Here is a 17147-nt window from a genome sequence, read left to right as displayed (position 1 = left end):
TATGAGGTAGGTGTGGCGGCAAGGCTGGGAGATTTGCACCTGGCCCAGCTAGGATTTAGCACACCTAGACAGAGCTGGCCAGCGGGCAGGCTGGGTGACTGACTGGAGCTTATTTGCAGGGTGGTCTCAGGCTGGAGGATGTTTGCATGGCGCCCTGGGGAGGCAGGGAGAGGCCTGCTGTCTCGGCTGTTCCTCTCCTCCAGGGTCCACTCCAGGCAGAACTGTTGCACTGGGGTCGCTGAGACACACAGCCGCTTAGGCAGCACGGCTTGGTAGCCTGACCCCAAAAGTGGGGAAGGAGTGTTCTCTTCACCTTGTCAGCCACCCACAAGGGTAGTGGCGTGTTGAAGTCCCCGGGAGCCCAGGGTGACTCTGAAGCAGGAAGAGCTGGGAGTTTCACTAAGGATCCTAAGAATGATTTTCAAGATGCTGCCAATTACTGCCCTTGGACCTGCTGCTAGCACCACAGGGCCAATATGAATTAACTCTGAGCTAGCACACATTTCAAACTAACCAGGCATCCTTGGGTCTCTAACAGAGAATAGCTCTGGATTAACTGTGAAGTGGGGTCCACCAAGTTTGCTCATCTGTAACACTGGGAGAACAATCACACCTCCTGCCCAAGGCTGTCAGGAAGGTGAAATGTATGGGGTTTTGCACAGAACCCAGCCGAGGCGAGAGGCCAGCACGTGCTGCTAGTGTTTTTATAAGGCAGTTGAGTCTCACGGGCTGTGCTTTCTCAGCTCTTTTTTCACACTTTATCTTCTAGGAGGTGTGCTTGAGAACCTACTTTCGTTTTTTTTTTTGAGATGGAGTCTTGCTCTGTCGCCCAGACTAGAGTGCAGTGGCGTGACCTCGGCTCACTGTAACCTCTGCCTCCTGGGTTCAAGTGATTCTCCTGCCTCAGCCTCCCGAGTAGCTGGGATTACAGGCATGAGCCACCACGCCCAGCGACGAAGCTACTTTCATTACCCTTTTCCCACCTACTTTTCATCAAATAAAACCTGCTCCTAAGTACCTGTTGAGGTGGAAAGCATGTCATAAATTCAAAGTAAGGTCTTTATGACAAACAGCTTTCCTTTCTGGGCTTATTAATTTTTTTTTCTTTTTTGAGACAGGGTCTCACTCTGTCACCCAGGCTGGTGTGCAGTGGTGGGAGCACGACTCACTGCAGCCTCAACACCTGAGCTCAACCGTTCCTCCCACCTCAGCCTCCTGAGTAGCTGGGACTGCGGGTGCGCACCACCACACCTGACTATTTTTTGCATTTTTTGTATTGACAGGGTTTCACCATGTTGCTCAGGCTGGTCTCGAACTCCTGGGCTCAAGCAATCTGCTGGCCTTGGCCTCCCAAAGTACTGGGATTACAGGTGTGAGCCACCGCGTCCAGCCTCTGGGCTTATTTCCATTTTAATAAGCAACCATCTACTCTTCACCCAAGGAGATTTCACACCACAATGAATGGTGAGTATGTGGGTGATGTGTGTGGTGGGGCAGAGGGGATGAGAGGCAGGGGCTGCCTGTGGGCTTTCAAGTTACTCTGTGGAGCCATACAGACATGAGGCTTACTGTCACATCCGTCCTGCCTCCCACATGTGGGCTGGCAAAGCTTCCACTCTCACACCCCACGTTTCCATGGTGTATTTCCTTGGAAGAGCACAAAGTACCTCAAAGCCAAGGTCAGCAGAGGCAGAATCTGCAATTCACATCACCCTATGTGCACAGGCCATTTGCAAACACGGAGAAAGGCTCTTTGAAAAATAAATAAGGGCATGCTGTTTCTTCCTAGAAATTAATCGGGAGTCTGTACTTAATTCATCAGTTAAACAAACAGAAACCAACTTTCCTTGGAATTCCACATTCAGATGACAACAGCCAAAGAAATAGCCCTCCTCTGGTTATACCAGTGGTTCTCAACCAGGGATGATTCTTCCCCCAGGGAACCCATTTTTGGTCATCATGACTTGGGTGGGACAAGCCTGGCATCTGGGGGCAGAGGCCAGGGATGGTGTGGAACATCCTGCAAGGCCCAGGACACTGCCCCCGCCCCAAAGAATGACTGGCTCAAGATGTCAACAGTACCTGCTGCTGAGAAACTCAGGGATATAACAAGACTACTGTGTGAGGCTGAGTAGGTCCTAAGATCAGAGTGAGGGCAGACATGAAGCCAAACTAGGGAATCAGGCAGGAGCAGCCGTATGTGAGAGCGGAGAATGGAGAAGCGGCAGAAGTCACAAGGCAAAAGCATTTGGAGCAAGTGTGACAGCTCAGTAGAGTCGGCATTGGGAACATCCTTTTGGAACCTGATTCATCAATGCTTATTGCCTGGAAGAATTCAAGTGAATCAACAGTCAGGGCTCCCAGAGGCTGGGATGTGTGCTCCTTTAATGAGAGATCATCTGTGCTTCTCTTGATACTCACTAACCATGCAAAGATGAGCAAGAAGGAATTTCTGGAAAAAATCTAATAAAAGGACTGAGTCCCTAAAAGGATGAGCAAAGCAAAGTAAAATGTTCTCTCCCCATTTCACAGGACACGTTGATGAATTTAGGGCTGCACAGATAGACGTCTAGGCTGGATGTCTGTCCTGCTCTAAATTTATCAATGTGTTCTGCAAAAAGAGTGCACAGGTCTGACCCTTTCCTTTTAGTCCTGTCTTTATGGCATTCATGAATCATCGTCCAATGGGACGTTTCCAAAAGCCATGGCTTTACTGCCAAGGAAAAATTAAAAAGCAAACTAAAAGGAGATTTCCCAAGCTCTAAAAAGGGGACCACAGAAACCTCCCCACTGAGAAGCCTGGAGAGGGAGGCTTGAGGACATCCAATTCCAAAGCTGGTGTCCAGAGAAGGGTCACTCCTGAGGGTGCCCACTGCTCAAAAAGCTAAGTACTGTGATAAAATGGGGCAAAAATCCCTTCCTGGTTAAGGGCTCGTGCTCCGCCTGTGCTGAGGTCTGCAGAGCTAAAGGGGAAGTTGTGGAGCCTAGATCAACCCAGTTGCTGCCCTGCAGTCACACTGAGTGCTGCTGTGTGGCTTCTGGTCTCAAAACTGCTCACTGCTGGAAACACCTTCCTCTTCTTTCTCACTGTAAATCTCTTTGGAATTTTCCCTGAACTCAAAGAGGGAGAAATCTCACTTTAACAAATGAAAGCTTTTCTTAAATTGGTTCACTTCGGTGGAGAGATAAGAGGCAGGCACAGGCCGAGGGCGAACAGTAGAAACTGAACCACTGAAGTTCAGCCACATCAACCACGGGACAGAAATGAGCCATGGGTGTGTCTTAGCAAGAAACCGGAAGAAAGCCTGGAAGGGCTGCAGGATGACCTGAGGGTTAGATCAGCTACGAGACTCAGGAGAACTTTTTATTCTGAGGGAGATCAAACCACAGAGAAGTCCCCTTCCCCCACCAAGAGGCAGGGGGCAGCACAGCTATTTCTACTCCAGATTCGGCCTGGTGAGAAACATCGTCTCCTTTTCCACCATAGAAGGTCTGCCAATGCATTATAAATGAGCCTTCCACAGCTCTTAGCAAAAGTAGCCCTGGAAATAGACAATCTACTATAAGTCAAACTGGAGAAGATCTTGAACTACTTGTTTTGCAAGATGTTAATGTGGAAAACTACCCTCATCACCACCACCACCACCATTACCACCACCACCACCACCACCGTCACTACCACCACCATCACCACCACCATTACCATCACCACCACCACCACCACCACCACCATCACCACCACCACCATCACCACCACCACCATCACCACCACCACCACCACCACCGTCACTACCACCACCATCACCACCACCATTACCATCACCACCACCACCACCACCACCACCATCACCACCACCACCATCACCACCACCACCATCACCACCACCACCATCACCACCACCACCATCACCACCACCACCACCACCATCACCACCACCACCACCATCACCACCACCACCACCACCATCACCACCACCACCACCACCACCACCACCATCACCACCACCACCATCACCACCACCACCATCACCACCACCACCACCACCATCACCACCACCACCACCACCACCACCACCACCACCACCATCACCACCACCACCACCACCACCACCACCATCACCACCACCACCATCACCACCACCACCACCACCATCACCACCACCACCACCACCACCACCACCACCGTCACCACCACCACCACCACCACCACCACCACCGTCACCATCACCACCACCACCACCACCACCACCACCACCACCACCACCACCACCACCACCATCACCATCACCACCACCACCACCACCACCACCACCACCACCACCACCACCACCACCACCACCACCACCACCACCACCACCACCATCACCACCACCACCACCACCACCACCACCACCACCACCACCACCACCATCACCACCACCACCACCACCACCACCACCACCACCACCACCATCACCACCACCACCACCACCACCACCACCACCACCACCACCACCATCACCACCACCACCATCACCACCACCACCACCACCACCATCACCACCACCACCACCATCACCACCACCACCACCACCACCACCACCACCACCACCACCATCACCACCACCACCACCACCACCATCACCACCACCATCACCATCACCACCACCACCACCATCACCACCACCACCACCACCACCACCACCACCACCACCACCACCACCATCACCACCACCACCACCACCACCACCACCACCACCACCACCACCACCATCACCACCACCACCACCACCACCATCACCACCACCACCGTCACCACCATCACCACCACCGTCACCACCGTCACCACCACCACCACCACCGTCACCACCACCACCACCACCACCACCACCACCACCGTCACCACCACCACCACCGTCACCACCACCACCACCACCATCACCATCACCACCACCACCACCACCACCACCACCGCCTACTGAAAAAGATAAGGAAAACCAGAGATTTTTGGATCCTTGGAGAAAGGAAAAGCAGTAGATTCAAGAAGGTACTGCATTCCTAATGTGGAAGAGATTCTTCCTACTATCAATGATCTAACCTTACTCATCACCATGAGCTTGATGGGCAATGGCCTCGGGTGCCATCTTGGAGCTGAGCAGGGAGCAAGAAGAAGCAAAGAGGCTAAAGGGCTGAGGGGGCACCTAGCATGACTGCATGAACGCCAAGTGAATGAGTAAAAGATGACTGCAGGCAGCCTCCCGCCACTCCTCAGGGATGAGGCAGGCAGGTGGATCACCACCTCCATTGGAAGGGCAGCCTCTACAGCAGTCTGTGACAGCGGGCAGGTGTGGCTGTCCATGGCCTCAGAGCTGTAGGCCACCCAACAGCACATGGCCACTAAAAGTAACATTTATACCTTGTGAGCAAAACTGGGCTGGGTGCGCACTGTCTCCACCTCCAAAGGTCACCCGCGCCTTTTGCCGACTGAGGCTTTTGCCCTCTGGGATGTGACGTACCACACGATGGGTATGGGACAGAGATAAAGGGGAAGAGGGCACTGGGGTGGTCAGACCCAACCAGTCAGCGTGTGACTGCTGAACTCCCTGAGACCAGGCGATGTCGGCACCCAAGGGAAAGTGGGGACACAGAGGGGAGAAGGATGTGGCCAGAGATCAAGAGCCCCAATGTATATAGCTTTGGCAAACTCAGTGCATCTCTCTGCGAAGGTAAGATGGTGATGTGACCATCCACCTTCCCAGGCTGTTGTGAGGATCCAGGGAACTAGTGGGCATGAGGCCCTTCCTCAGCGAGGAGGCAGGACAGACATAGGGTACACCCTGCGAAGCAAGCACTAGCATGTAAAAGGCATGTGATCGATCTCTGAGGGACGAAGGAACGTTATTAATAAGCTACCTCCCTCTTTCTGATCTCTGGATTCAGGAATGAACTCCTTTGTCGTTTTTGATATTCCTACCCATTTGGTCAAACTTCAATGAATGCAACGGACCCAAGAGAAATCAGGCATTGGTAAAGATGTTACAAAACATGAATGACACGGACTCTGGGTGGAATCTGGGATTGCAGTGTGCCCCCACTGGAGCCTTGTGTGGCAAACACATTGCTCACAGCCCCTTTCATTCTGTGATAGGGTGTGGGGGAGACTGAGATGCAATGCAGGAGTTGGCTTCGTGGCTGATTCTTACCTGGGAGAGGCCTCTGAGCATGAGCAATACACGTGTTGGTCTCACCCCTGCCCTTTACCTCGGCGTCTCAGTCATGTAGAATACAACCCCATGGTCTCAGCTATGGGAATTATGGGAAATATGAGTAGCTCAAAACACTGCTGTTAAAAAGCAAAACCAAACAAAACCCAGAAGAAGAGGAAAGATGCAGAACAAATAAAGAGTAAAGGGATGTTGCAAGACTATGGAGAAAGGAAACCTAACGAGGTGGGAGCTACCCCTTACGATGACCAAATGCAGGAGGTACTTCATCGTAGGGGAACCCTCACTTGTATTCAGGTCCCAGTGCTGGGGTACAGTGGAGCGCCTTAGCAACCGCATCGCCACCATCTGCACAGCTCTCTGACTTGTGGTTGCACAGCGTCTTCTTTTAAGTTAAATAACAGCAGAAATGGGCTGGTGCATTTCACTTGGGCTTCCTGGGAGGTAATGTCCATACTAAGGAGCTATCCAGCAAAGGGGTCTGGCCATTGGTCTGCCCTTTCTCTGAAGATTAGCATGCTCAGGGAACGGGCTACGTGCATGACCAACACAAGCAGGGGCACACGGTTAAGGGTTATAAAGTGGGGTTAGTTTGCTCATTTAGTCACCCAAGGTTCTGGAAACGTGCTCACCGAAGACCTGGAGGCCCACTGAAGCCAGTGCATTTTGGTACACAAAGTCTGGAGAATAAGAACGGACAAAGGAGAGGATTTGGAGAATAGTCAGTTCCTGGCCTTGCAAGTCCAGAATCGGGAATGGACACGCAAAGAATGCTATAAACCCACGTGAGCTGATGCGGAAACACCTGTCGGATACATTGCTACGTGAAAGACGCAAGGTGTGTTTAACACAGCACAACCTCATCTGTGTATACGTTTATACATACAGAAACATTCTAGAAGGTTACAGAAAAGATCATGAAGAGTAGGACCAGTAGTTGGGGAGATATCTTTTCATTTATGCCCTTCTCTACCACTTAACTGTTCATTTCACCATATAGAGAGAGCATGTTAATAGTAATTTTTTCTAAGGGATTGGGACCCCTTTCACCTCCTGCCAACTTCATATAGTCTTTGGTTTCTCTGACAAAATTAAACAGTACTCAGCTCACCTACAGCACTGCAGCATTATCTCAGAAAGGGAAAACTCTCTTCTGGAGGAAGGCTGATTCCGTTGATGAGTTTGCTGATAGACAGAGGCCATAAGCCACACATTAAATGAGGGGATTCCTGTAGGTGTGAGAGCCACGTGTGTATGAGGGTGAAGGTTCTGGCTTATCATGGGCTGTAATCTATGGAATAAAAACATGTACTCCATTTGGTCTTTATGTTAATGGCCAGATTTAGAGGATTTAAAGCTCTTTTTCCAAGAAAAGTTGTAATGGCCATCGTTGTTGGAAACCTTCACTGCCAACAATGGAAACCTGTCAATTCATACACTTTGATGTACACAGGGTCTGTATTTATGCCGTCACTCATCATTGAAGCTCCCAGAGGCTTGCAGTAGTGATGCTTATTTATATTATTAGTTTAAATGTCTCATTTCTTCCAATTTCTCTGCTAAGCAGAAAAGTATTTGAGAGAGTAATGATTAAAGAATAGGAAAAACTGCTTGCCTCTAATTAGCCAAGTAAAAGGTGCTGTCTTAGACTAGTTTAGAGGCTTAAATCAAACCTAGATACAGCATGATGTGACTTCTGTAGTCTCCAATGGCTGGTTAGTGTTTGTATGTTGTTGACAAACCTTCCCATCTTGAGATCTCAATTTTAATTGGCATCATTGTTACTGGCCCAACAGAAAGGCCAAGAGAATGAAGCTGCCTGCCACCCTAGAGAACTGATGAGATGTGGCCCAAGCTGCCTATGGTATCTGATCTGTGACACAGCCATGCCAGGGACCCTCCCTCCTCCTTTTACCTGCAGAGCCCCTGCACTACATACCTAGCTTGCTGGAGTAATTATTAAAAGAACATAGTACCAGGAGATGTCCTTATGTTCAGGAAATACACATGGAATTATCTAGGTGTAAAGAAGCATTAACTCTGCAACTTACTCTCAAATGGTTCAGAAAAAAATAAGTATATATTAAGGTTGGTGCAAAAGTAATGGCAAAAAAAATGAAAAGTAACGGCAAAAACCGCAATTACTTTTGCTCCAACCTAACAGATGTGTATGTCTGTACCTACACACAGACAGAGATATAGAAAAAGAATGATACCGAGGTCAGCCTGTAATCTCAGCACTTTGGGAGGCCGAGGCAGTCAGATCACTTGAGGTCAGGAGTTTGAGACCAGCCTGGCCAACATGGCAAAACCCCATCTCTACTAAAAATATAAAAAAAATTAGCCAGGCATGGTGGCAGGTGCCTGCAATCCCAGCTACTCAGGAGGCTGAGGCAGGAGAATTGCTTGAACCTGGGAGGTGGAGGTTGCAGTGAGCTGATATCGCGCCACTGCACTCCAGCCTGGGTGATAGAGCGAAACTCCGTCTCAAAAAAAAAAAAAACAAAAAACCCCCCCCAAAAAACAAAAAAAACAATATAACACGAACATGCTAAAATGTTCACATTTAGGGAACCTGGGTAAAGGAATACAGGAGTTCTTTAAATTACTTTCCTGGCCCTTCCACAAGTCTGAAATTGGAAATTATTTCAAAATAAAATTAAAAAAAAAAAAGGATCCTTGCACCAGCTTCGATAATTAAATGATCATCAAGCTCTCTAAACAAGCTAATGGCACTGGGAAATGAAGGACTTTGTGGTGACTGGGAAAAGGAACCCCGATTGTGTGTTCTCACTACAGGGATGTCCTCAATGTTCTTATTCTCTTTGGCTCTTGCTGTGGGTCATTGGAGACAATGTCCTGAAGAAAGTTCTATTTTTCTGCCTTTTAAAAAACAGAATACTTAAAGTAATTTCACAAAAAAAATGGCCATCTGTGAAAGGTCTATTTCCAATGTGCTCTGCCTAACCACTCTGGAATACATTTCTTGTGTTAACATTATAGATTAATTTCTCCCTCTCTAATAACCATTTAAGTACAGTGAATGATTCTGGCTTGCCTATGAACTAGCTATTCTGCTCCTTGGTGCCAACGGCTAGAACTAAAAAAAGAAAAATCAATTAACCTTATGCTCCTGGTATTTGTATAAACTGCTACTGATTACAAGCAGGATGAGTGGAAATTTGAAGGCTGTTCTTGGCCATTTCATTCACATTAATTCTAAATCAGAATAAAAAGCTACAAAATTCAAAGTGACGGTGGATCAGAATCCTGGAGCTTTTATTTTTCTGGCAAAGCCGAAAGTGCTTTCCTTCCCTCGGTGAGCCTTCTGGTTGCTGGGCCAAGCTGCTGGCTGTACCCTCCTCCCCACAGTGCCTCCACGCTCACCTGACGCTGGGAGGTAGGGTGGACATCCACTGCTCCTTCAGTCACTGAAGATTACCCTTTCCAGAGGCGACATCTGTTTTAAACTTAAAATTTCTCCTTACCTAGACTCTTCTGAACATTCCGGTTTTTTTTTTTTTTTTTTTTTTTTTTGAGACGGAGTTTCATTCTTGTCGCCCAGGCTGTAGTGCAATGACGCAATCTGGGCTCACTGCAACTTCCGCCTCCCAGGTTCAAGCGATTCTCCTGTCTCAGCCTCCCAAGTAGCTGGGATTACAGGTGTGTGCTACCATGCCCAGCTAATTTTTGTATTTTTAGTAGAGATGGGGTTTCACCATGTTGGCCAGGTTGGTCTCGGACTCCTGACCTCAGGAGATCCACCTGCCTCGACCTCCCAAAGTGCTGGGATTACAGGCGTGAGCCACCACGCCTGGCCTACAGGCCTCTTTTTGATGACTCGGGTTTGTTGTTGAGAACATCAGGCTGAACTGATGGCCCTCACTGAGCTGACGGTCCTCACTGAGCTGACGGTCCTCAATGAGCTGACCGTCCTCATGTCCGGGGAGCAGAGGATGCTTCACATTGTGCTTCCTTGAAGAGATCCCCGAAACCAGCTCGTTTTGTGTTTTGCTCATAAAGAGGAAGAGCTAGTTGTTGGCTGCCTGTGTCCAGGGCTCACAGCACTGCTGTCTGTGGTTGTCTTTGCTTTTGTTTTTACAAAATGATCCCTGAGAAGTGATTGTCCCATCTTCCAGAAAATCATCATCTTCACGGTGGCACATGGTAGCTTTTTAGGGACAGACATGGCTCTGTCCAGGACAGGACTCTCCCACTGTTGACTGCCACAGGGGCAGGTTCTTCCCTCACATCTCAGCCTCCAGGCTTGCCACTGCCAGGAGAGATGACCACCGCCATGGGACCCTGCCACCACCAGGGGAGATGGCCACTGCCAGGGAAGGTGGCCACTGCTAAGGGAGATGGCCACTGTCCCACACACTCGATGCTGGTCACTCTCCTCTTTCTGTTCTCCTTTACGTGTGACCTTATACAGAATCCAGCCCACAGCTGTACTGCAGATCTTGATCTTAATGTCGCCGTGAGATGGAAAGTCCCGTGCTAACCTCCTGATGGATCACGGCATTGTGAGATGCTTTTTGCGCTGGGATCGCATTTTGCATGGCACTGCGGTCTAAAGGTTAACTTCAGTCAAGTCACTCTGGCAGTCAGGAAGAGGGATTAAGACAGCACACTAGAGGAACCATGATTCCCTGATAAGCTCTGTGGCTGTCCAGCAGTGGAATGCTTCTACCCTCCTTAGGGAAGTCAGTGATTCTGGAAGACTCTTTCATTGGAGGTTCAAAAAATTTAAAAATTAATAAAACAAAGATGATAGACTCCTGATCCTACAAGCTCAATCTGATCTGTAGAAGCAGTTTGCAAATAACTGTGAGAACCTGAAGTCCCGCTACTGGTATTTGGTAGTAAGCAAAGGTTTAATTCCATGGGAGCCAGGAGCATCACCGCACGTGAGAACAGCTACCTGTCCTTAAGCCTGCAAGTCTCAGGGAAACTGACTCACCAGCGCTTGCTAAAAAACCATCAGGCAGACTTCACCAAGACAGAAAAGGTTGGTGAGCCAGGATTATAAGAACTGCTGAGAGGCGAGAGCCACTCAGAAATGGGCTCACGGTGAGAGTCGCTAGCTGTGTGACATTTGCCTGATCGTTTCTCCAGCAGCACTATTTAGGCTGGCATTGCTACATCTCTCTTTGAAATAACAAAATGACCCGTTAGAGAATGCTCAGCTCTGTAAACACATTTCACTTTTCAGTTAGCTCTGGATCAGGAAACTACAGTACATTTTTCACCAAGGAAGCTGGAACACCACATCCCAGAATAACTTTTCTACGCCGCTAGTTCTCTCCTGCTGTTTGTATTAACCAGAGCGTATTGTGCAGCTTCGACTTTGGTTGCTTTTTGCTGTTCTAAATGTCCTCTCCAGCCACTGGAATGGCTCTTGGCGTGGTGTCTCTGCCCCAGCGTGTCACCACTGAACAGAGTGCAGTCCTCAGAGACCGCTGAAGGCGGTGGTGCCAGCCCTTGCATGACATGCTGCGATGAGCCTCACTCGGCTGCCTGGCACGGGGCAAGGACTACAGGAAACAGCTCTCAAGAGGCACATCGCTGCCCTTCCAGGAACCAGAGCTTGCCCCATTTATCTCTCTGCCCTTGACGCTCTCCGCTTTTGAACACAGCGTCTACGGGTCTCCCTGCAGCCACGTGCTTCTATCTTCACTGTCGTTGTTCCCTCTGTGGGTCCATTTCCTGTCTGTCTGTATTCTTTCTAGCTCCTTCCTCTTTTGTGCACAGGTTTTCCAGCAGAACACGGGCTTCTGCCTGAGAAATCTCTTCCTTCCTTCTGGCCAGAGCTTTTACCAAGCGGGGCCTTTTGCATGAAACCTCCAGTTTTAGGGCCTGGGTCGACAATTTCTGCCTCCGTTTGTGAGTTCAGGGGCTATTTCTTCACAGCCAGGGGCAATTTATCCTTCCTTCTTAATTTTAACGAGCATTCAGTTAAAAAACAAACAAAAGGGAGGGGGGAGGGACAGCATTAGGAGATATACCTAATGCTAAATGACGAGTTAATGGGTGCAGCACACCGACATGGCACATGTATACATATGTAACAAACCTGCACATTGTGCACATGTACCCTACAACTTAAAGTATAATAATTTAAAAAAAAAAAAAACCAGCAAACAGTAGCGCTCCAGGAATAAAATATAAATAAACACTGCTCCTAACTCAGCTGCCTGCCATGGGTACAATTTTGCTTCCTGTGATTTCCGTGGACCACAGAGAACAGTTCACATTCTTGCCTGCGGAGCCAAGTCGCCCTGTTGTCTTCCCTATATCCGAGCTTAGGGCCGAGTATCCACAAAATGTGGGAGACTATGCAAATAAACACTCTCTTCTGCCATAACGTGGCAATAAATAGAAAAAGACATGTTTTATGGTTGGTTTTGCTGCAACTCATCGCTTTCTGGAAAGTGACTGACAGGTAATTGGATTTTGCCCAACCCTCAAGGCGGGGTCAGTACGCATCTCTACGTTGTTCCTATAAAGAAACTAAGCTGTGTTCAAGATGCTGTTGCATAACCTTCATATTTTAAGACAACAAATAAATATTAAAGGCAGAAGAGGAAAAAAAAATAATCCCTAACAGAATTTTCTACTGAGACCACTTGCAGCACCATTAATCACTCTCCCCACCCCCAAAAACCTCCAGACCGGGTTTTGTATGTTGAGGGGCAGGAGCCCGTGAGACCCCCCTGAAATCAGTGTGCAGGGCTGACTAAAGAAAAGGCGGGGGTGTCAGATACAAAAGGGCCTTATTTGAAACGATGATTCAGGAGGAAGTCAACTGACCTGATTAATTTTAGTTTTTCTTCAGTGTGTGCTAAAAATATCTTCGAAAAATAAAATCCAGTGGGCTCACCAACAGCAGTTTTATTCTTGGGGTAGAGGACACAGAGGCACACATGGTGAGGAAGTTGCTGCTCTAAGAATAAGGCTGTGTGCCACCCAGTTGGCAACTGTGCCACCCCAGGTGGGTCCCCTGGCCTGCTCATGGGGCACCTGTCAGAGGAGACACATTTGAGCGAAACCAACAGGGCGATGCTTCTGAAACTGACTGTGGCATAAAGCAGCTCTCTGCAGTCCCCGGGCAGAGGCACAATGGGGAGCTGCCTGATGCTGGCCAAGATGGTGGCAGAGCTGGAAGGCACAGTCCGCCCGGCCCTTAGAAACAGGACGCCCTTGGAGGCTCTGCAAAGTGGCAGGTGGTGAGTGAGCAGGCTGACTTCTTAAAGGCTCTCAGTTTACCTCTAGAGATATAAACATGAAAGGCACTTGCTGGCCGCAATCAACAATTAGGGCCCACAGCATCAGCGTCAGGGCAGTTGCTGAGATGGAGCGATGGTGCAGTAGGTGAGGACAAAGACTCGTCCTGGTTTCACCATCTATCAGCTGTGTGTCTTCTGGCAAGTTACTCAGCCTCTCTGTGACTGTTTCCTCCACTGCAAACTGGGGACCATAGTACCCATCTCACAGGGCTGCTGGGATGATTGAGTGAATTAATATTCGTAAGGCACTCAGAACAGGGCCTGGCATACAGTGTTTAAATAAATGAAAAAAATGGGAATCAAACAGGGAGAGTGTGAAAAAAGCTGACAACATTAGAATTGGTGGCTGACACTCACTCCCCGCAGTGGAGGCAGTGGTGGAAGAGGGGGCGGGGCCCAGGCCCTGCCTAGTTGCTGGCTAGGACGGGGTTGTGCTTCAGAGCTCCCTTCGGTGCCAGGCAAACCCAGGAAAACCAGAGACAGACACGAAGCCTGAGTCCTGCTGAGGACTGAAGGCTGTGAATACGGCCCTGCTGGGTGCGAGTCCACAAAGTCCAGACCTAAAGCACAGCTGCCCTCACTCCCTAGTCGTGCGGGGGTGCTCTGCAGCTGTCCAGCTGGAGGATGAAGTGTGCACAGGGTTCCCCTCCCTGCCTTATCGGTCCTTACTCTCTGAAGGCAGCAGGAATCCCGGCTGCTGAGGCCACAGGACTGAGGACAAGGCTGAAACCTGGCCCGTTTCCTCACCCTGTACAAGCCAGGGGCACCGGCCTCCTCTCTCCAAGAAAAGAGGTGAGTGGGATACTCCCAGAATTTGGGGACATGGGGTTCCGAAAACAGGCTGCTTTTCTGGACTCACCACTTTGGGCTTGAATGGTGGCTGGATCTCCCTGTTCTCCAGTTTTTCCCAGTCGATCCTCCGGAAGAAGGCATGCTCTCTCACGTCCCTCTCCCCCTCAGGCCCACAGCCCAGCCGCTTGGCTGGGTGTTTGGTCATCAGCTAGAAAGGAAAAGGAGAAAAGGAGAACAATGGATGTCAAGGGCTTCCCACAGACAGCACCTTCCATTTGCCTAGCTCTGCCTACAGCCCTGACTTTGTGGACGCCTGGACAGCATCTCAGAGAGCTGACCAAGACACTCAGTGGCTTGTACGAAGTGAAGCCAACTCACAAAAATGACATTGGCAAGAATAGCCCTTCCTATGGTGGTTTTCAAGACAAGGGAACAAGGAAGCAATCTGAACCCATGGCCAAATGGAAGAAGAATTTAAACAGACATCTCACACGTTGTCTGTTTTGGAGACACCATGCTATACATGTATCTAGTAATAAAAAAAAAAGCATGCAATCACTAAAAATTGTGTGTGCTGAAAGCATCACAGTCTAGCATCACAGAGGATGCCATAATAAGCATCATATGTCTACGTATTGTCTGGGCCAAAATGTTATCAATCAAAGACTCATAGATTAGAAAAATAAATGCTATAACAAGGAAGGCGACTAGTTAATTCCGACTTGCCCACTGCAGGACACAGAGACAAACACTGTCTATGAACTCTCTGAAGGCAGAAGCCAGTTCCTCCCGATCTCAGTATCTCTTCCAAGTGCCTTGCTCTTGGATGACACGTGACAAATGCCTCACAAATGATCACACTCACCAGATACTGTTAAGGGTATATTGTACTCCATCTTACTAAGCCTGAAAATAGCTTTGTGATCTAACTCTTGACCATTCAAAACTAGACAAGTCATGACCAGCAACTCTATTCCTAGAGCATTTCCTCAACCAAAGTGTGTGCATATCTTCACCAAAACACATGCCCCAGAAGGTTCACAGCAGTTCTGTTTGTAACAGCCTCAAACCAAAGCAGGAACAATCCAAATAGCCACCAGAAGTAGAATGGATAAGGAAACGATGGTGTGTTCACACAGTGGAACACTGCACAGCAATATGACAGGAGGAACTATGGCCCCACACAGCAATGCAGACAAAATCCTCAATCACAATATTGAGTGAAAGCAGCCAGGCCAGGAGCAACACTGTAAGGTTCAGTTTGTGCAGAGTTCAAAACAGGCAAGACTAATCCATGCTGTCCAAAGTTGGGGGGCAGGTTATCTTGGGGCGGGGTAGTGACTGTAGATGGGACAGGAGAGGGCTTCCAGGGTGGTGGAAACATGGTTTCTTGAGCTGGGTGCAATTACATGGGTGGATTCATTTTGTGAAGATTCATTTATCAGCATATTGATGATTTGTGCCAATTGCTGTATGTATGCTATAGCTCAAGAAAAGTGTAGCAAAGAAAGAACTAAGTCACACCAAGTAAGACAGGAGACGAGAGCACATACTTTCTAAGGGACTCTGATGACATCTGGTAGTCCCCACCACAATTTTATGAAATGGATTAGAATGAAAAGTGCGGTACAGTCATTAGGTGACTGGGCCAGAGTCCCAGGAAGTATTGGGATTCCAATCCATTCTCTTGGCCTTCACTTTCGCCACTGTGCCCTGCCCAGTAGAATGGATAAGGAAACGATGGTGTGTTCACACAGTGGAACACTGCATAGCAATATGAAAGGAGGAACTAAATCCTCAATCACCATATTGAGTGAAAGCAGCCAGGCCAGGAGCAACACTACAAGGTTCGGTTTGTGCAGAGTTCAAAACAGGCCAAGACTAATCCATGCTGTCCAAAGTTGGGGTGCTGGTTATCTTGGGGCATGACACCAAGCCCCAACCCTCGATGGCCAAAATGCAGTGGTGTGGGTTTGTGGTGTTTCTGCCATCTCTCTTAGAAGTGTGGGGAAAGTATTTCTCCTACCAAAGCTCTTGGTCCATGATCACAAAAGGTATCCAAATCGACTTACTCCTTTGCAGACAGAAACAGCCTCCTTGGACAAGGATTTTGGATAGGAAACGTTGTGCTCCATGATAGACTGAAATAGCTCGTCTTCATCTTCACCATCAAATGGAGGCTGTTCCGGAAAAAAAGAAAGATGGGAAAGTATTTAGGCAGAGTAATTCATTCACATGGTGCCTGAAGAGCCAATTCAGCACCAAGGAACAGACCAGGTTTCTCAGCCCCACCACAGGCTGCACAGTTTGCTCAGCTAACTTGACGGTTTATTTGATCATCTTTAATGAGATTGACGGTTGTGTGTTTTTCATTTTTTCCCCTCTGTCTCGTTAATTATCTTGCCCTGGGCAACCCAAACAATCTTTAGGGAAAGTGTTTTTGAGTAATGTTTTTAATGATTTGCAAATAAATTATGATTAATCCATTAATCTTGTAATTATGTGCTAAAAATCTAATTACGATCAAGTTAGGTTACAGATGGCTTTGTGGTCAGAAGGTGGGGGTGGCCGGTAGAAAATGCCAACACTTTCATTTGGGGTGAAGGGGACTTGAGAACGTGGCCTAAGAGGATGTTCCCAGTAATTCACACTGGGCCTCTGACCCAACAAGCAGCTGCTCTGAGGGAGGGCCTTCCAGCTGCACAGCAGCAGTGATGGGACCTTAGCTTCCATTGGACTCCTCCCTCATCCGCTTTGACTGGGTTTACAGTTACCAGGCTGAGAGAGGAAGGCACGGTGGCCCCGTGGGACCTTGTGGCTTTAGAGTCAGGTGGATCTGGACCAGAATTCTAGCTCTACTAAC

General features: G+C 48.7%; 1 protein-coding gene and 1 non-coding gene across 7 annotated transcripts in view; both read right to left on the bottom strand.

Annotated features, from left to right (window-relative positions):
• Positions 1–17147, bottom strand: part of PRKCA (protein kinase C alpha) — a 508131-nt gene that overhangs the window by 7413 nt on the left and 483571 nt on the right. For 5 of the 6 annotated variants that reach the window (XM_047436388.1, NM_002737.3, XM_017024837.2 and 2 more), the window contains 2 exons: positions 16357–16464; positions 14352–14492 (listed from right to left, as the gene is read on the bottom strand). In XM_047436388.1, the coding sequence (XP_047292344.1) occupies positions 14352–14492; positions 16357–16464 (249 nt within the window). Of the gene's footprint in view, positions 1–5010; positions 6884–14351; positions 14493–16356; positions 16465–17147 lie in introns of those variants that run through there. The other variant, XM_017024836.3, reaches the window with a different exon arrangement.
• MIR634 (microRNA 634) lies at positions 16163–16259 on the bottom strand. The gene has a single exon (NR_030364.1). It is a non-coding gene; the product is annotated as a microRNA 634 (primary transcript).

This window comes from Homo sapiens, chromosome 17 (assembly GCF_000001405.40).
Source record: "Homo sapiens chromosome 17, GRCh38.p14 Primary Assembly".
In the NCBI taxonomy this organism is placed as follows: domain Eukaryota; kingdom Metazoa; phylum Chordata; class Mammalia; order Primates; family Hominidae; genus Homo; species Homo sapiens.
Note: the sequence above shows the minus strand (reverse complement) of the source record. Positions and strands in the feature narration are given on the sequence as shown.